A 21,835-nucleotide genomic window follows, 5' to 3' on the forward strand; every position below is an offset into this window, starting at 1 on the left:
TCCTGAGTAGCTGGGACCACAGGCGTGCACCACCATGCCCGACTAATTTTTGTAGAGATGGGGTTTCACCATGTTGGCCAGGCTGGTCTCAAACTCCTGACCTCAGGTGATCCACCCACCTCAGCCTCCCAAAATGCTGAGATTACAGGCATGAGTCACTGTGCCCAGCCAAGCAATTTTCTTATGGTATGATATGTTGAGGCAGTGATGAAGTATTACAGAAAACATATGTTCTATCTTGATAACCTGCACATATGGAGAGAAATTCATTCACTAAACTTGAAGACTCTAGAAATGTAGAAAAGAAGCTGCAATGGAAAAGAATCAATAATTTCCACAACATAGATTATTATTATTGTGTTGTTATCTAGGATGGGATAAAGGGACATATTTTAAAAATAATCTTAATTAACAAAATTCAATAACAGCCTCATATTTCATGTCTCTACTACTTTAATAATTTGTGCAAATTTATGTTTTAGTAAGTAGAGAAAATTTTTAAATTTGATAACTACCATCTTCATTAATAAATAATTACTGGAGTAGTTTCTTTTGCAACTCTCTACTAGTATTTCCTCCCATTACCCAAACAGAGACGAAGCAAAACAAACAAAAATCCAGCCTACAGTATGTTTCTTCATTTTTACAGAATTGCAGAGTTTACCTTAGAAAACTAAGAAAAGATAGAAGACTGACTAAAAACTAAAGTTTTGAAAGATGTTTTACATATGAACATTAGGATGTTTGCACACTATTTCACAAAACTGACATGGAATAATACTGATGGGGGGAATGCTTTTTCTGCAAAAAAAGCTATATTGCAATTCAGGGAGAATCTCATGTTATTAGTTACTGATCACAAATATGCAAGAGAATAATAATGCTAAGTTGAGCCCAATGGTCTGAATATTCCTTTACTGTAGCACAATCTGGCATGACTGCCTTTAAATGAAATCTGTATTTCACATCAATTTGAAATCAGCACATCATACAATTTTTAAAAGGAAATTTAGCTATTTACCCCTCTACAGAATCACTGATTTGACAATAAATATTTTTGAGAAAATATAAGAAAATAAACTTTCTAAATAAGCAATTTACATTGATATTCTATATTTAAATTATGTTTTATAAAAGCATGCGCTTTGGAGTCAGATCTGGATTTGAATCCTGATTCTACCACTCAATATGTAATATATATAAAGAGCTTAGCAGCGTTCAAGGCACACAGTAAATCCTCAAATGTTAGCTGTTATTATTTCTAATCAAAGCAGTGGTGGCTGCTATTTATAAACACTACTATGCATGCTTTATGTACATTATTGCATTTGTTCCTCCTAATTATTCAATTAATATTATCCCTGTTGAATACACAAAAACACTGAGGTTCAGAAAAAGTTGAGAAACAGGCCCAAGGTCTGAGTGTGTCAGAAGCCAAAGCGCCAATGCTACTGACCACTAAATTGTTGCTTCTTAAACTGGGGTCCATGCAAAATCCTTGTGGAGTATATATGTGTTGGGTGTAGGAAAGTGCCCATGAACTTACTATGAGAATTATGCATTATTCATGTTGATGAAACATTTTAAAATAATATTCATGCTCTGAATTATTTGGATAATTGTATTAAAACCAAATATTGGCAGAACCATCTCAGTGCTTAGGTTTGTATTTGTATTGACTTCCCTGTTAAGGCCCAGTTCTACATTAGTGGTGGAAGGCTTATGGAGAACAGAGGCTGTTTTAATAGGGGAATGATGGATTCAGGCTAGATGAGGACCAAATAACATCACTATGTGCTGAACAAATTAAAGTAATAGTCTGAATAGGAGAAAACAGGGTGAATTGGGTCATCACATAGTACATGGCAGTACATGCCTGTTGAACTGAAAAGAGCCTGTACTGTAGCACTCAGTACCATAATCACATTACAAGTGACAATTTCATTTTGTCAAAACATCACTATTTAATACTATTTTAAATTTTATTAGTTTTATAGTTTTGCTTGTGTTAACCCATAAACTTGTTTTGGTTTTATACTTGTGCAAGACATATAAACATAAAGCATTTATACCTAGTTTTATGTTTATATATATTTAGATAACATTATAATAAATATAAATTAAGCAAAAACTGAGGAGCTAAGAGATTTTTTTCCTTATTAAAAAGTGAAGTACATTATTCAGTTTGAGAAAACTGGTCTACACGGTCGGTCCTGCTTGTGAATGTCGTCTTCAGGAGGTAACTTCTATTATCACCAACCTCACAGGATTTGTAAGAGCATTAGAAGAGACGATGAACGTTAGAGTGCCTGGACCACAGGAAGAATTACAATGACAGTTCTGTCTCCTTTCCTTGAAAGAGAAAATCTGGAAGCTAAATGCAGTCTATACTCTTTTACTCTAACTATGGTCTGGGGACCAGGAGAATTGATAACACCTAAGAGCTTGTTAGAAACTGATAATCCCAGAGGCCACCCCAGAACTATTGAATCTGAATCTCCATTTAATAATATCCTCAGCTGATTTGATACATGCACATGAAAGTTTGGGAAACACTAGTCCAGGTCTCCACAGAGAATGTTGACTAAAATTCACTGAGTTTTTAACTACTCTTAAGGTTAACTTTGGTAATTAGAGAAAGACCTCATGTAAATGGTCAAAAAATAATGTCCCATCCTGGGGTTCAATATAAACACTATTATTTCACTATTGATTCTTCATAGGCTATATTTGTATAGAGTGAGACCCTCTTTAAAAGGGATCTAACTTCTAATTCAGAATGAGCAAAAAATATTTTAAAATACAAAGTTTTCATAAAAGCTTTCTGAATTTTCAGTAAGCAAATTGTAAGATCTGTCAATTTAAGCATTTTTAGGTTTCCTTCGCCCAATACCAATTAAAATCATTTATATATGTTAAGCTCTTAAATATTTAGCTCACAAGATCTGGTCTAACAAAGTCCTGTCTCAGTCTGTGATGACTGTGTGCTTACGTTAACGAAACACATTACAAAAAAAAAAGGTATGACTGTGTATATAAAATGTATTAGCTTTACTGTCCAACAAAAGTATCAGATCACATTCTGCAGTTGTGATTTTGTTAGTGTAATTCACCTACAGAATACCTATGCTTTTCTTCCTGAACTCAGTGGTCCTATACATTTAAGGCATACTGTACTTGAAAAGATTCAAAGATGCTGTTCTTAAAAGTGTAAAAAATAACTAATATACAAGAGAGTCACTAATATCTAAAATGATCTTGATACCATCTGTTTAAGGACTAGTTCAGTAAGACTCAAAGATTGAACTAGGTTATTTATTGCTCTATGTTCTCTACATATGGACCACAGAAGTCCGACTCAAAGAATGTAAAACAAGGCAGATTATGCATATATGTGTGTGTGCATGCATGTATATGTATATATGGTTAGGCCTACCAGGCAATCCTTATCATCTCTGGGTTTATGATATGACCTAGATTATAGGTATGTTATGAACTGAATGCTTATGTTCTCCTCCTCGTCTGCAAATTCATATGTTGAAGCCCTAACATACAAAGTGATGGCATTTGGAGGTGGGGCCTCTGGGTGGTAATCATGTCATGAGGGTGGAGCCCTCATGAATGAGATTAGTGCCCTTATAAGAAGAGACAGGAAAGTAACGATGTCTCTCTCTCTCTGCCAAGTGAGAATACAGCAAGAAGCCAGAAGAGGGCCCTCATCAGGAATTGCGCTGGATGGCACTTTGATCTTGGGGTTTCTCAGCCTCCAACTGTGAGAAATAAATGTGTTTTGTTACGCCACCCAGTTTACGGTATTCACCCAAAATGACTAAGGTAAGGTAAAGCCCTCCTTTCATTCTTCATGGTCTTTTTGCAAAACAAGAGTTAATTATATGCCAAGAAGCATTAGTGCCAGCACAGTTAAAACACTCTAGCGCACGTTAATTATGATGATTACAACTTAAGAAAACTATAATCAGAAACCTGGCCAGGCACAGTGGCTTATGCCTGTAATCTGGCACTTTGAGAAGCCAAGGTGGGCAGATCACCTGAGGTCAGGAATTCGAGAGCAGCCTGGCCAACATGGTGAAACCCCGTCTCTACTAAAAATACAAAAATTAGCCGGGCATGGTGGTGCATGTCTATAATCTCACTTACTGGGGAGGCTGAGACAGGAGAATCTCTTGAACCCAGGAGACAGAGATTACAGTGAGCCGAGATCGTGCCATTGCACTCCAGCCTGGGTGACCAAAAAAAAAAAAAAAGTACAGTAAGGCCCTTTAAAAAAAAAAAAGAAAAAGAAAAAGAAACCTAACTAACTCCAGTTTTCAAGGTGTTTTTATATTATCCTGCAGTTCTTTTGGTCCTTAATACAATCAATCCACTGCCACTAGAACCATGTAACTCTCCTCTATATAGTACTTCAAATTCTAATCATTTCTGTGCATATATTAAGCAATTTAAACTCTATATACATACATACTGTCAATGTATCGGGGAAATACAAAGAGTGATCTTTAGTTTATGCTGAATACTTAATTTTATCACTTCTCCATTAACTGTTATAAAGACAAGACTAAACCTACAGTTTGAATTCATTAAACAATATCCAAGCAAACAGAAAAGAAGAGGAAATAGGCAAGCCATGTTTTTCTACTAGAGTGACTATACTTATCCCTCTTTAAAAAGAAGTGATATTTTCAATTTCAGAAATTTGATTAAAAAACTACATCTATTTTTCCTACCAAAAATACTCAAAAAACCCTCTGCTAATTACTCTCAAAATACTGCAGATGTATTCCTTTGAAAAAGGAAATACAGGATGGGCACGGTGGCTCATACTGGTAAGCCCAACACTTTGGGAGGCCGAGGCAGGAAGATCACTTGAGGTCAGGAGTTTGAGACCAGTCTGGCCAACATGGTGAAACCCTGTCTCTACTGAAAAAAAAAAAAAAAAAAAAAAAAATTAGCCAGGCATGGTGGCAGGCACCTGTAGTCCCAGCTACTAGGGAGGCTGAGGCAGGAGAACCACTTAAACCTGGGAGGCCGAGGCTGCAGTGAGCCGAGATCACACCATTGCACTCCAGCTTGGGTGACAGAGTAAGACTGTCTCCAAAAAAAAAAGAAAAAGAAAAAGGAAATATAAAGCATCCGCCAATGAAACATAATATACATTAAAGGAGAAAACGTCTTTAAAATATGTACCATTTGCCCTCACGAGTCTAATAAAGGCTGAACCTTTTTTAAGAGGTAATTTTCACTATCAAGAAACTTGGATATAGATGAATTAAGAACCCAAATACACGTGGAAGCAAGAAGTGTACTTGTTTTAAAAATCATATTATGCCTTGCATGATTAATAAATTAATATTTTATAACTTGTGTCTTCAACAATTCAATTAGCATTTGGCATGACCAAAGTTTAATTAAATTAAAGACTTGGTGGTGCTTTGAATTAACATCAGATGCTGGTGGTCATCTCCATCCAGTATCCCCTTTATCCTCTAATATGTCCTTGAAAATGGCATGTATTATTCAGGCTAAACCTTTTCACAAAGGCAGATTGGTATACCAAATGTTGCTTAATCATTTCAATATCAAGGTCATTATATTTCTCCTCTAGGATTTGGTACTTTGAAGCAACTTCATTCTATAACACTTTAGACATCTATAAAAGCATGAACTTGGTCCCACATCAAATTTAGTTTCAGTGAGAAGAGTGGTCCTTATCTTTCTTTAGTCATCATTGAATTATAAAACACAGTTGATATGTATATAGTTCTGTATCACCTTTATACCCTAGGACATCAATTGTACTAAAATCTCAGCATATGTAGAATCCTGCTTGTGTTACTAAACATTAATATACTGGTATGAATATAGCAAAGGAACATCCTTTCAAAATCATTGCCTGTAAGAAATTGTATATATAAATTTGCTTCCTTTCAAATTGGCAAAGTAGCTTACGGCCTCTATTATCTCTACAGAAAATGGTTTGGGCCAGGTTCTTGAGGTAGCCAAGTTCCCCTTTAACAAAGAAAAGTTGGCAGACTTTCATAGCTGCTCCTTGTGAAGAAGATACCTCAAATATGATCTCACGATTGACTGTAGAAGATGAAGTTAAAGTTGCAGACTTTTAAGGTACAGTGCCCAAGGGGTTAAAAAAAAAGTACTGTTTGAGAGAAAGCTTAACATCCGACATCTGACTGGCTGCCTGGATGTGATGACCTAGGGGACATAAGAGAAAATCTTAACATAGATGTATATATAAGGATCAAGTAATTTTGAGGTCTGACACAAAGAAAATGTGTTCAATACATGCAAAAGATAAGAACCTTTATCTAAAAAATGTAAAGTCTCTTCTTGTTTATATGGGAAAATACAGGATGAATTTAATGCACTATAGGGGCATTTCCCTATCATAAATGAAGAGAATATGTTTCTTTGATCTCCAATGAAGAATTAGTTTGGGCAGAAAAGAATGGGACCCTTGGAAGCACTGATCTGGAGCACATGATAGAACAGAAAGGTTCTGCTTTTTTTTTTCTCTGAACTGCCAATGTACGTGATGGGGTGAGGAAGATGGGGCTGTGGGGAGGTGGCTGTAGGAATCAAAAAAAGTACAAAGCTACCCAGATGGGAATAATAATGGTTTGACCTTAATTCAAGAAGAAATGTTTAAAATGGCCAACAGATGCCTCTTATTGAAGTATAGCATCAGGGGATGAGCAGGCCAGAAGAGATTCTGGACAAAAGAGGAAGGAGGTCATCAGGGTTGGAATTTTACACTAACAGGTATTGCCACACAAAAAGAAAAATCACTCAAATGGTATCAAGGACAAGAGGAGTGCTGTGTAGCATTCCCTCATATATATTTATTCCCATTTAAAAACTAACTGAAGATACCCCACCACAACAAAGCCCTTTCTAAATGCTATCTTCATGATACCTCTGTGAGGTAGGCAGCATAATTCTAATTTTTACTCATAACCAAGCTAAGGCACAAATAGAGCCTGAGTGGTAAAAGTGGTCTTTTGCCAATTATCAGCTCCCTGGATTTGTTCACTGTGACACACTTCCTCCACACTGATGCAGGCAACTCAAGAGATGCTGCTATGAAATGTCCTTAGAGGTAGTAGACCTGATAGCTAAACAAAATCATTCATGACTCTGGAAGACAACACACTCTCTAAATGCTCACTGCTGGAGTCTTGGAAGATGCTCTTAAGAGTACTAATATGTGCGGTCCTTTTGAATAAGACCAAATCATCCATGATTATAGGAAAAAGGCTGAAGATACAGTCTTCTTGTTTCACCCCACACTGTTGAGATCGGAACTGTGGCAATCTTAACAAGTCATATAATCCAAGGAACCTTAGTCCTTAAACTTTAGTCTTAACTTGTACATTAACATTCTAAGTCCTATGTTTTGCTAATGATTTTGATGTTTTTTGTCAGATACATTTCCACATTCTTGGACTCAGGTAATTCTCTTTTAACACAGCCAAATTATCTTTATAAAATATACATGGTATTAACACCATGGATCTGAAGCAAACAATGCATCTGGTTAGCATACATTGGTTCTGTATATTTCGAGAATCACTTAAGTACACAAAGGAAGCGTGCAATGTTAGAGAGATGATGTGAACAGTCTTGGTGGTTTATCTAATGGAGAATTCGGTGTCCTTCAGGAAACTAAAGATACTCAAAAGTTGCTCCCCAATTTCTATTAACAATCTAAAAATGAACATTTCCATTTCATATAAATATACAAATTTAAAATGTGTGCAGTTCAGAATGGCCTACCATTTTTAGATTGCTTATGTGCCAGAAAATATACAGTCAATAAAAAAATACCAGAGAGGTGGGGACAAAAGGCTCTCTGGATCTGTACAGCAACAATGAATATCACTTCAACAGGTAGCTATTCGTGGAGGAAGTGGCATCCTGGGAACCAAGAAGCACTGAAAGATGGCAGGTCACAAATCTGGTGATGGGGGATATGATGTATAGTAAGGCCCGTTTTCCTGTGGAAAGAAAAAAGGAGAAGAACATTTAAGTAACAGAACCAATTTAACTGGAAATGTGAAAAAAAGGGATTTACAGTCATTGAGGTAGTGATATAAAATGTCTAGCACATGTCTGGCACTAAGCAGGCCCTCAGCCATTAGGTAGTTCAACTAGTATCACTCAGAGTATAAGACAGACAAAGGCAATAGGATCATAATATTTTTTAAGAATAATACCACTTATTGAATATTTTATGTGCCAGACAATTTATAGGCGCTTTTAAAGTCATCCCTTTAAATCTTCACATAATGCCATGAAGTAGGTAACATCCTCACTTTACAGAAGAGGAAACTGAGGATCACACAGATTGCATAATTTGCCTAAAGTTACCTAGTTGGTAACCAGCACAGCCTGAATTTAAATTCAAATCTATTTAAATCTAACATCCAGATTCTTTTTTGTTAGATTGTGTTGTCTTACTGTGTGCCAAATCTTAATTTAGAGTTAGGAAAACAAAAAAGTTATCACAGAGGAATTTAATAGCTATAACTATTTTGGCAGAAGTGAGTCTTCATGACATGCCTGAGTGGCAAGGCTTGTAACAATTACAGTTCTCAGGAAATTTAGTTCAAGATCAAGATGGAGAATTAAATGCCAAACCTTTAATGTCAATGTAAGGGTAACAAATTAGTGCAAGGGGGAATTTTTTGGCTCTGATTTTGGCTAATCTCAGTAAAAATCAAGACAGTTAAGTTTATGATAGAAGGATCCTGGATTAGATTTATGAGACTTAAGATTGCTTTCTCATTTTTAAGGAAAGTATTTCTTTGACAAAGAATTTGTTTTTCAGCAAATCACAAACAGATAATGCTTAGCACTAGTATAAGACAATAGTTTGAAATGAAGAATAAGTAGAAGAAAATAGCATTTCTTCATGGTACATTTACATTATAGCTACTACAGAGCATTAAACCTACCGGGTCTTGAACATAGCAGGCAGTGAAATTGTTTGAGACTAAATAAATCAGGTACTCTGCCATTCTTCAGCACAAATGCTTTGGAGCAAGAATTGATCTTGGGCCATAACCAGGAAAACAAGACATCTAGGAAAACTTACATTCCAATTATAAACCTAACCATGTATCAAACAAAATAAAAAAAATAGGTAGAAACAAATCCTAGGATAGGCTACATTTCTAAAAACTTGAAAAACCTTAATAAAACCTTTTTTTAAAATTGAAAAATTGGATCTAACTAAAGAGCTTCTGCACAGCAAACGAAATTATCATCAGAGTTGAACAGACAACCTACAGAATGGGAGAAAATTTTTGCAATCTATCTATCTCACAAAGGACTAATATCCAGAATCCACAAGGAACTTAAGCAAATTTACAAGAAAAAAACAATCCCATTAAAAAGCAGGCAAAGGATATGAACAGACACTTCTCAAAAAAAGACATATATATGGCCAACAAACATATTAAAAAAACAGCTCAACATCACTGATCATTAGAGAAATGCAAATCAAAACCACAATGAGATACCATCGTATGCCAGTCAGAATGGCGATTACTAAAAAGTCAAGAAACAACAAATGCTGGTGACGGTACGGAGAAATAGGAACACTTTCACACTGTTGGTGGGAATGTAAATTAGTTCAACCACTGTGGAAGACAGTGTGGTGATTCCTCAAAGATTTAGAACCACAAATACCATTTGACCCAGCAATCCCATTACTGGGTATATACTCAAAGGAATATAAACCATTCTATTATAAAGATACATGCACATGTATGTTTACTGCAGCACTATTCCCAATAGCAAAGACATGGAATCAACCCAAATGCCCATCAATGATAGACTAGATAAAGAAAATATGGTACATATATGCCATGGAATACTATGTAGCCATAAAAAGGAATGAGATCATGTCCTTTGCAGAGACACGGATGAAGCTGGAAGCCATTATTCTCAGCAAACTAATGCAGGAACAGAAACCCAAACACCGCATGTTCTCACTTACAAGTAGGAGCTGAACAATGAGAACACATGGACACAGGGAGGGGAACACTTACTGGGGCCTGTTGGGGGAGGGTGGGGGGAGAGCATTAGGGGAATAAGCTAATGCATGCTGGGCTTAATACCTAGGTGATGGGTCGATAGGTACAGCAAACCACCATGGCACATGTTTACCTGTGTAACAAACCTGCACATCCTACACATGTACCTCAGAACTTAAAAAACTAAATAAAATAATTTTATATAAAAAAGAAATACCTATAAAAATGTTTCACTGACCAAATCCTTTATCTTCAATATGCATGGAAGCTATACTTACAGAAACATGCCCTGAAGAGATGAATCTATTCTGAGTTTCATCTGAAAAGTTCACTATCTGTCTTTAGGAGTTCTCTATTCTATTACCAATTTTTTCTAAGTTTTTCACACCTACATTAAATTATGACAAACTAAGAAGAGCAAGTTCAATACTTAATGCCATGAAATAGAATTTCCATTATTAATTTCACACTGGGCAAGAGACTGCTGAGCAATCAAATATTTTTTCTATTTCTGGAAACAATCATAGAAATTTTAAGAATTGTTGCCAGGAAAAACTGTATATTCTCTGCTCTGTGTTTTTAAGAATGCCAATAACTCTCTTTCTGAAATGGTCTCAGTATCATTGTTACCTAGATAGGTTAAAAAATAGCTTCTGATTACCTTCAAAGGTCCCTTTTAATCCTATAAAATTGATGTTGCTATTCCAAGTCACATAAATCCCAGAAAAATAGAAGCCCACTGAAACTTGGGTTTCTTTTTTTTTTTAAACAGATACTAACCACTTCACTCCTTAACCAAATAAAGAACCTTCTATATGCAAGGCACAATTTGAACATGATAATGAAATTAACCAACTCTATACTCATTTCTTTTCTCTGATCATAGTTTTAATTCTTCCTAACAAAGGAAAATGTTTCCTTACAAGGTAACATGCAGCTACCTACTGGTATCTCCATTTCAATGACTGATGGGGCATCTCAAACCTACTGTGTCACAAACTGAACACAGTACCTGTCCTTTCCCCCTAATCTGTCAATCCTTTTCCTCCAAATTGCTTCTCTGTGGTGGTAGCAACATATCCACCAAGTCTCCCAAAGCAGAAACTTATTTTCTGCTTCATCCTTAGTGGCTACTCAGTCACCAAATGCTGTGAATTTTATTTCCTAAAATGTCTATTTCTAAATATCTCTAAAATCTTCAAATCCCTGCCATTATCACTACCACTGCCCTAACAATATAGTCTCGTTTCTCTGCCAGCCTTTACTAATAGACCTCATCTTTTCCCCCATGGACTTACCCTTCCCTCTCTAGTCATTCTCTGTGCTGTTTCTACAGTCATTGTCTAAACAGCAATGTAATGGCAATTCTCCCTTGCAGAACACTCTTCACTGACTACAAAGCCAAAGACCTGCAGCACTAATATGTAAAGTTACTGTATCCAGCGATGTGCTCTCTGCCTGACCCTTCCACATCATCTCCTGATATCTTCTGCTATAGTTTGAATATCTGACCTTCCAAACTTCATGTTGAAATTTGATCCCCATGCTGGAAGTAGGGCCTAGTCGGAGGTGTTTGGGTCATGGGGCAGATCCCTCATAAATGTCTTGGTGCTGTCCTTGTGGTAATAAGTTCTCACTCTATTTGTTCCTATGAAAGCTTGTTGTTAAAAAGGGCCTGGCATGCCCCTTCCTTCTCTCTCTTGCTTTCTCTTTTGCCATGTGATCTCTACACCCACCAGCTCCCCTTACCCTTCGACCATGAGTAGAAGCAGCCTGAGTCCCTCACCTGAAGTAGATGCTGGTGTGATGCTTCTTGTACAGCCTGCAGAAATGTGAGCCAAATAAACCTCTTTTCTTCATAAATTACCCAGCCTCAGGTATTCCTTTATGGCCACATAAAAATGGATGAAGGCAGAAAATTGGTACTGAGGGGTGGGGTGTTGCTATAAAGAGACCTGAAAATGTGGAAGCAGCTTTGGAACTGGGTAATGGGCAGAGGCTAGAAGAGTCTGCAAGGATCAGAAGACAACAGAAAGACTTAGGGAAAGTTTGAAACTTCTTAGAGATTGGTTAAGTGGTTGTGACCAAAATGCTGATAGAAATACAGACAGTAAAGGCCATGCTGATAAGGTCTCAGATGGAAGTGGGGAACTTAGGAATTAGAGCAAAGGTCATCCTTGTTACACCCTAGCAAAGAACTTAGCTGCACTGTGTCCATCCCCTAGGGTTTTATGGAAGGCCAAACAATACTGGTACCCTACGGTATCTGCTGGAGGAAATTTCTAAGCAGTAAAGCATTCAAGAAGTGGTGTGGCTGCTTTTAACAGCTTATAACCAGATATGAGAGCAAAGAAATGACAAAAAGTTGGAATTTATAATTAAAAAGGACACAGAACATAAAATTTTAGAAACTCAGCCTAGGCATGTGGTAGAGAAGGAAAGAACATTTTCAAGAGAGGAATCTAGGGGTGCTGTGGAGCAACCACTTGCTAGAGAGATTAGCAAGGATAAATCTTTGAGGTAGCTCCTCGCATCACAGACCCAGAGGACTAGGAAGACAGAATGGTTTGGGAGCGACAAGGCTTTAACACTTCAGGATGCTGCTCTCTGCATCCCAGCCCCTCTGGTTCCAGCGATGGCTCAAAGGGTCCCAGGTACTGCTCAGGCAACAGCTCTGGAGGGTGCAAGCTATAAGCTTTGGTGGCTTCCATGTGGTGTTAAGTCTGCAGGCATGCAGCATGCAAGAGTGGTGGAGGCTTGGCAGCTTGGAACTAGATTTCAGAGGATACATCAGAAAGCCTGGGTTCCCAGATAGAAGTCTGCTCCAGTGGTGGAGCACCTCCAGGCAGTCCTCACTGGGGCACTGCCTAGTGGAGCTGTGGGGTTGGGTTGCTCCCGTCCAGACCCAGAATTTCAGCCTGGAAAAACCTCTAGCATTCAGCTTCAACCTGTGAGAGCAAGCCATGTGGGTGGCAACCAGCAAAGCCATGGGGGTGGGGGTGCCCAAGGCCTTGGGAGCCCACCCCTTGTACCAGTGTGCCCAGTATGCAGAACATAAAGCCAAAGGAGATTATTTTGGAGATTTAAGATTTAGTGTCTGCCCTGATAGGTTTTGGACTTATAAGGGGCCAGTTACCCCTTTCTTTTGGCCTGTTCCTCTTATTCCTCCCTTTTGGAATGGGAATGTTTACCCAGTGCCTGTACAACCATTATATCTTGGAAGCAAATAATTTGATTTTGAGTTTACAGATTTACAGCTGTGAGGAACTTGCCTTGAGTCTCCAGATGAGACTTTGGATTTCTGAGTTGGTGCTGGAACAAGGTAAAACTTTTGGGGACTGCTGGGATGGAATGATTGTATTTTGCATGAGGGAAGAACATGAGGTTTGGGTGGCTAGGGGCAAAATGCTACATTTTGGATATTTGACCCTCTAAACCTCATGTTAAAACCTGATCCCCAGTGTTGGAGGTGGGGTCTAATGTGAGGTGTTTGAGTCATGGGGTGGGGCAGATCTCTCATAAATGGCTTGGTGCTGTCCTTGTGGTAATAAGTAAGTCCTTGCTCTATTAGTTCCTGTGAAAGCTGGTTGTTAAAAAGAGCCTGGCACCTCCCTTCCCTCTCTCTTGCTTCCCTTCCCACCATGAGATCCCTGCACATACTGGTTTCCCTTCCCCTTCTGCCGTGAGTGGAAGCAGCCTGAGTCCCTCACCAGAAGCAGATGCTGGTGCCCTGCTTCTCATACAGCCTGCAGAACCATGAACCAAATAAATCTATTCTTTATACTTAGCCTCAGGTATTCCCTTACAGCAACAAAGAAATGGACTAAGAAACCCTCTTTTGTTTCTTCCCCATTTTTATGCCTCTCTTTGATCTAACATCTCAATTTTAGAAAGCTCTAGCATAGGTACAAAGAGATGATCCAATGAGCCAAGTGTTAGATTATAAGTTAGTCTACTTAATTTTGATTAATTACATTATGCTTGTATTTATACAAAAATAAAACAGCCAAAATACACAACCAAACAAAACAAAAAACAAAACCAAGCTTGAGTGTGGTGGAGCTATACTTAATATTTAATGAAAGCCTGCTTTATAGGCCCTTAAGTATATAGAAAATGCTTTGGCTTAAAATACAGTCCTTTAGGTTTCCTAATCAAACACCCAACTTATATATTTCTATCCCAGAAAATAAATGATAAATCCAGATACTAGCTATGAATTGTCTTCAAAATTTTGAGTGTAAAAATGTTGCTTAGTGCCTTTCACATTTTCTGCTATCCATTTTTTTAAGCATTAAGATGAGTGATGTAGAGTTCAAAGGAAAAACACTAAGATCATTTTCTACTCCAGCAATCTGCAGTAAATACAAACTAATGTACTCTTTTCTCTTTCCTATATTCAACAATTTTTGTATCTATGATCCAGCTGCTCCAGTTACAAATCCTCTCTGTATAACAGCCAAATATGAAATTTTATTAGCCATTAGATCACATTATACACTTTACTCTGCACATAAGGGGAAAAAAATTATAGCTAAAGTTAGAGAAATGTTAGAGAGAAATTGTGTTGCAGAATTTTTATTTTGCTGTATAAACACTGCACAATAATTAGGGAAGAATAATTCATTTCAAACTTAATATAACTTTCAAATCTATCCCCTGGTTCATACAATATAAAGATAAGCAATCAGCAACAGTTAAACAATCAGCTTGATGAGCTTTTGGCCAAGTGTGTTACTTTTTTTTTTTCAAAAATTACTAAGGTGATATCATGAATAAACACAATAGAATAAATTGATGAAATTCACGAGTAGTCCTGTGACTAGTGCTTATGTAACAGATCCATAAACGCATCTATAAATAACAACAATAATATTATCAGATGATGCTCTTAAAAACATTATACAACCTTTTAGATAAATGAAACTTTTAGCAGGGTAAAGACTACTGAGATAGGCCACATGATTTGCAATTAATTCTAAAAGTGATCACCAATAAATTCTTCTGGCTCTGTGTAGATGGAAAGCCATTCAATCTTAAGAAAATTAGGCAGAGGTATCTGTTTTAAATATGGTAGAAAACTTACAATACAAACGAAAATTGGTTCTGAACTCACAGCAGAGAGATCTCCCACTGAAACGTTTATCTGGAGAAAATGCCTCTCTTGGGACAAATCCTTTTCCTAAAGTTATCATAGGGAAAGTATGTTAAATGATATTACCAAGTTTATTAAGACTCACTAATTTACATTAATATCTGGTAATGACAGGATGTTGTGCTCGTAAGTGCTGCTCTATAGAACAGTTAATATACCATACCAGGTGAGGGAGAACTTCTGGTACTTCTTACCCTGGCATCATATTCAAGGACAAAAGGAGGAAAGTCAATCTGTTCTGGTGATATGGCAGAAAACAGCTGGTGGAGGCTGTCCACATGGTGGATTTTGTCCTTCAGTCCTGAGACAGAAAAGGTGGTAAAAAACCATGTTGACACCTGATTAATAGAAGAGAAAAAATAATTTAAGCTAGTTGCCATAGTTAGAAACATAAACACAATTTGGAAAATTTATAGTAGATAAAAACTATATTTCAAAGTCTTAAAATAACTAGTGTTTTCAAAGCGCAATCTGAATTTTGCAATCATCAGTTTAGTTGATTATTAATAACATTAAAAAGAAGAAACGAGGATAACACTGACTAGAGACTATAAGAAGAATGAGTTTTGTTTCATGAAGCTTTTGTTTCCATTACATGTATATAAGTTCCCATGCGTGTAGTGTGTTAGTGCTGTACTACATGCTTCTTACTGTGGGTTGTAGTCAAAACCGCTGCATTATTTGGTAGAATAATTGGTGTTCCAGTCTTCTGAAAATGGTTAATATCTCCAAATCTCACACTGTGAATTTTTCAAATGAGACTGAAAAGAAAATTTGTGCCAATATTTGGGACTCATATATTTTCAGTTGATGCTTGGCATGAATTTCTTTCTCGAAGTCCATCAAAGTGAATCACTTGTAGATGTGGTGCCATCTTTGCTCATTTCACTTGACAACATGCAATCCCTCTCTAAAAGCTAGTCTGCAAAATTTGTTGGTTCCCAAAAAAAGGATAAAAAATTCTTGATACCAAACAATACTGACATAAACTAGGTAATGGCTTGAATTTAAAAATTACTGTTTATCTATCTAAATTGGCAATCACAAATTAGTCCATGTTTATCAACATACTATACAATAGTCCTATGAGGCAGGTATGATATTGTTGCTATCCCCATTTTACTTACAGAAGAAGGTAACGTATGCAGGAAATAGCAAACTTTTTTGAAAAGGACCATTATAGTAAATATTGCAGGCTTCTTATAATAACATTATCAGAAAATCGTTCACAAGGCATGCCTGAAGGTTCTTGGAGCAGTGCAATATTGGAGGCAGGACAACATGAAAATTAATTAGGAGGCTGCTGTGTCATTTCAAGTAAAAGCTGATAGTGGGATGAACTAATGTAGAGGCAGTGGGAATAAAGACACAGACATAAATTTGAGCAATTGTAAACACACAGAACTGATGCAATGTGCTAGGAGATGAGGTACAGAAAGTGCTCCAGAATGCCTCTCTGGTTTCTGGCTTAGGCACTTGGGTAGGCAGAAGTCCCATTTGCTAACACAGAAAACACAAATAGCAGTTCAGGAATAGGTGGAAGAGGAGTACATGAGGAGTTCTGTTTAAAAATGTTGAACTTCAGGGTCCTATAAGATGCCTAAGTAGAGATATCTAACCAGTAGTTCAATACCAAGGTCTAAAGCCTAAGAATGATAATGATGATGATGATGATGATGATAATGACAATGATGATGATAGTGTACATTTACTGAGCACTTATTATACGTCAGGTAATGTTTTAAGTATTTTACATGTATTAACTCATTTCATCTTTCAATAACCCTAAAAGATAGGTACTATTATTTCCATTTTATAGGGGATAAAATAAAAGCAAACAAATTATACTACTTGCCTGAGATGATAAATTGATAACTGGTAGAGCTGGGATTAGAACCCAGGTAATCTGAATCTTGAAACCATGGTTCTAAACATTAGGCTTTATTGCCTCCCCAGATATATGTTTGAAGATTGCATATATTTTGGAGGGTCACTGAAGAAATGGGAATAAAAAAGGTATAGAATTAAAGATGAGGGTGGAGAAACACGGGAACACTAACACTCAAAGGATGCAAGCAGGAAGCCAGGTGCAGTGGCTCATGCCAGTAATCCCAGCACTTTGGGAGGCCAAAATGGGAGGATTACTTGAGGCCAAAAGTTTGAGACCAGCCTTGGCAACAGGGCAAGACCCCATCTCTATAAAAATACAAAATAAAAAAAATTAGCCAGACATGATGGTGCACGTCTGCAGTCCTAGCTATTCTGGAGGCCAAGGTGGGAGGACCCCTTGAGGCCAGGAGTTCTAGGTCACAGAGAGCTATAATCACACCACTGCACTCCAGTGTGGGTGACAGACTGAGACCCTGTCTCTAAAAAGAGATGAGAAGAGAGAGAGAGAGGCTGACAAATGAGACTGAGAAGCAGCAGCTAGAAGTAGGAGAGAAACCAGGCAAGGTAAGTTTCAAAGAAGCCAAGACAAACTGTGTCAAGGAGAAGTGATCAACTGTGTTTAAGGCTGCAGGGAATGCAGGTAACAGAGAGAGAGAAAAGTGTCTATTAGATTTAGTGACCCAGAAATTATGGATGATTTTGGTGTGAAAAGCTTCAGCTGGCAAAGCAGGATAACCACACTGGAGTAATTTAAAAGGTACATGAGAAATGGAGATGGTGAGCATAGAACAAAGATTATACTAAACAATTTTGGTCGTAAAGTGGAGGAGAGAAAAATAGATCTTAGCATTTTTAAAAGTTGGTAGATAATTTGGATCCAGCAAAGCGGGAGAGGAGAAAGACACTAACTGTTGAAGAGAGCTTCTTTAAGGAAATGGAAATACACTCTGTAGTTTACAGTCTGGGATTAAAATGCCTAGATTCAAATCCAGCCTTTGCTACTAACTGTTGGTTATCTTGGTTCCTTAATCTCTCTAAGCATCAATTCCCTTACCTGTATGGTGGGACAACTACTGCCACCTATTTCACAGGTATACTGCAAAGCTTAAGCAAGATAATTCATGGGAGGAACTGGCAGATAGCAAGTGCTCAGAAAACTTAAGCTAATGTCATTACTATGGGATTCACAGCACAGGGAAAGGGACTGTCCTTCATTAAGAAGGACATTAATGAAATGTGTTCATTAAGATGGAACACATTTTTGTGACAGAGAAAAAGGAGGCAATGATAAGAACAGCTAGCAAGTAGGTTTGGAGTGGGAAGGTAAAGATAAAGAGCTCCTTACTGACGGTTTCTTTGAGTGAAGAAAGCAGTACAATGGATTATTTCAAGTTTAGGTTTTGATGGGCAGGTGTGATGAAAGGGTAACAGGTCATAGGTTAATTTAGGCATTGACAAGAGTGGATGAAGTGATGAAATGTCAGTTTTTAGCTTGATAGAGAAGAAAATAAGGGCAAGATGATATTTTCAGAAAGTAAAAAGACCAAGAGACTAGATATCTTGATGAAGTCAAGATGTAGGCTTAGGTAGTGGGAATATAATTGTGAGCAAGACTGCTATATTCTAGCCCTCATGGATCTTGCTGGCTCATGTATAAGGAAGAAAATTAAACATGCAATTAAAATAAAAACATAACAATGATATAAGACTACAGAATCTTAAGGGGTTACAATGCTAGAACAGCTACTAGCTGCAGGATTGGTCAGGGAAGGATTTCTACAGAAAGTACAGCTGAGACCTGAAGGTCAAACAGGAGGTAGCCATGGGCAGAGGAGGGAAGTGTATTCTGTAACAACAGCATAAATGAGGCCCAGATGAACAAAGAGCACAAAAACAGGCAGGGACTGATGGGCTAACGGCTTATAAGGGTTGCCCACAAAGGCGCTGGAGTCACATACAACCAAAACATCAGGACCACAACTCAAGATCACTTAGAAACCAGGAAATTAGCAGTCACAATGGTGACAGCAACAATTAAGTTGCTGAGCTATTATCTTAATACTCTGGGCATGCAGTGCACATAAATTCTAGATTTAACCAAAGAGAAAAATACTGTACCTTTGAACGAAATGTGGGATGTACAAAATAAACAGCCTTCAAATTCCTCTTGTACCTGATCCAAAAATAAAATGACAAAAAAAATCAGTATAAGTTCATGCCTAAAACCAATTACTATTATAGACTATTAACTATTTGCCTGAGTATATAAATATATTCAGAGAAAAATAAAGACAGCTATAATTTACAGATTGAATTTTAGGTGAATGCCAAAAACAATTCAGAGAACATTCCATTTTTTAAAGTATCTCTTTTATAGGAGATATTAAGTGCTTCTGTCAGCTGCTATAGGTAGGACAAAGTTAAGTAAATTTGTATTTAAGAAACAAATTTATGGTGTGTCATTTTTTAATATGATGCTAGAATCTCTGGGATCAGAGTTAAACAGCAGCTAAACCACTTAAAATTATAGCAAAATTTTAAACTAAAAGTTTCAATGGTCATATTACAACAACAGATTGTTGTAACAATCTGTTATAATAACAATATTATAACAGAATTTGCTGTGCCCCAGAAATTGTAGAGGCCTTCTACTTAAATTCTCAAAACAATTCTATGAGCTCAGTACTATTATTGCAGCTATTTTTGCCCTCCCAAAGTCACCCAGTCATCAAGTGGCAGAGCCAGGAACTGAACCCAGGCAATACCACTCCAGATTCATTCTCCTATCCACTATTCCATCTGGCCTCTCTACGTGTGCCTGAGATTTTTTCAACAGTTCAGTAATCAACATTGGGTCACGTGAAGTTAATTGGAAAGGACGTCAGAGAAATAGTACAAACTATTTCACAGTTGAGGCCTGTTCCACGTTTAAGAACTGGTTAGTGGTAGAAGCAGAACTACATATATACAACCCACATTCAGAGTAAGCTAAAAAGGTGTCTATTGGCTAATGAAAGCTTTAATATTCCTAAATAAGATGAGATTTAATGGGAGAAGTAGGATAGCTGGAAATTTATGGTAACTTGCCTTCTTTGTACCCTAACTGTAAAATGGGCTTTTCAATGCAATCCACACAGACATTGTGATGCTACAAATAACAGAACAGCTAACAGGAGGGTTGAGTGCCACTTTTTATTCAGAAAAAAAAATAAGAAAAAATGTAAAACACTACATTTCATCTTTGCTATAGTGGGGTATCATGTATTTTCTGGTTAAAATTTCCATTATCATTTCAAGGGAAATATGCTTTAATGAAAATAATTTTCTAGCTCCAAGTCAGTAACCTGGGTTCAAGTCCAAATTCTGCATTTACTGTTGTGAGACTTTGGGCACATACTTCACCTTGCAGAATGTCAATATCTTCCATCTTTCAAACACAGATAATATCTCTCCTAACCAACTCCTGGGTTAAAGGATCAAAGTAAATAATGTTTATAAATGTATTTTGATAAGTATAATACATCATATAAATAGAAGGTAGTATTTTTGTTATTTTATCCACAAAGATTGGTAATGTAAAAAGTTTACATATGAATTTACTTTAATGCAAAATAAGTTTCAGTTACGGAGGGTCTCCTATGATTGAAGTATCTAATCTAGGTATGATAAAAGTCTTTGTTACATGAAATATCCTTTCACAGAATACAAAGCAATGTTTGCCACTGCTTAATATTAGAAAAGAAAGAAACTATTTCCCCTTCATAATTTGCAAAAATAACTAACTTGACATCAACAACATCGTAGAGTTTCTTCAGGAAGTCGGAGTCCAGGTGATTGTATTCGCTGGTCAGGGTGTGAAAATACACTAATACATACTCCTTCACAGCAATGTGATCCATTACATGAATGAAATATAAGAGAGCCTAAAAGATAAAAGGGGAATAAAGGTGAAGATCATTTTGAACAGTAGTCTATTTCACAGAGACCAAGAAAAAACAAAACAAAACAAAATAGAAAATTAACCTACTCTATGCCCTAGTCATCATAAATGGATAACTCAGAGTGATGAATATCCATTCTCTTTAAAAAGAGCTCCAGGAAAGTGAATCATCCCAGTGTTTAATAATTCTCATAAGTGCTACAGTACAATTCCTTTCTGTCTTATTCTAAGTGATAGAGGAGAACAATCAGTCTCTATCCTCTAAAACAATTCTTCATATACTGGAAAAAGTTCTTGGATCAACTACCAGGTTTTCTCTCTCCAGGACAATGATATCGAAATCATTAGAAGTAGAATTTCTATACTTTTAATCATTTTTGAAGTTTCCGCTTGAATTCAATCAAAGTCTTTGCAGTCTCTACTCAGAAATAGACTCATGGCCTGCACATAACCAAGAATTACTATAAAAAGATGTAATGAGTGGTGCCTCACATGATTCACGTTGAGAGCTAATTTTTTTAGATCTTTAGTGCTGATCTGAAGGAGGACATTGACAGCAGGTTTAATCAGTAGATGGCAATAGGTTGGGAAGCATTTCTAGAGCTCTGAAAGATTCAAATTTAATGTGACCCAGATTGGTTATAGAAATATTCCATTACAAAAATGATGAATTTAAGAGAAACACTAAAAACAAAACAGAGATACAATATAGGCAGGGCCAGTATGACCCAGTGGTTTAGCTGTAAACAATCACATAGAAAAAGCTAAGAGGTAACA

At 36.9% G+C, this 21,835-nt stretch overlaps 1 protein-coding gene across 2 annotated transcripts in view; it reads right to left on the reverse strand.

The window, feature by feature from the left end:
* Positions 1–898: 898 nt before the first annotated feature.
* Positions 899–21,835, reverse strand: part of GDAP2 (ganglioside induced differentiation associated protein 2) — a 66,137-nt gene continuing 45,200 nt past the window's right edge. The window contains exons 11-14 of one of the 2 annotated variants that reach the window (NM_017686.4): positions 20,902–21,041; positions 19,237–19,291; positions 15,423–15,566; positions 899–8,030 (exon numbers count right to left, since the gene is read on the reverse strand). In NM_017686.4, coding sequence (NP_060156.1) covers positions 7,983–8,030; positions 15,423–15,566; positions 19,237–19,291; positions 20,902–21,041 — 387 coding nt within the window. In that variant the 3' untranslated portion in view covers positions 899–7,982. Of the gene's footprint in view, positions 8,031–14,125; positions 15,567–19,236; positions 19,292–20,901; positions 21,042–21,835 lie in introns of those variants that run through there. The other variant, NM_001135589.3, reaches the window with a different exon arrangement.

This window comes from Homo sapiens, chromosome 1, assembly GCF_000001405.40.
Source record: "Homo sapiens chromosome 1, GRCh38.p14 Primary Assembly".
Lineage (NCBI taxonomy): Eukaryota > Metazoa > Chordata > Mammalia > Primates > Hominidae > Homo > Homo sapiens.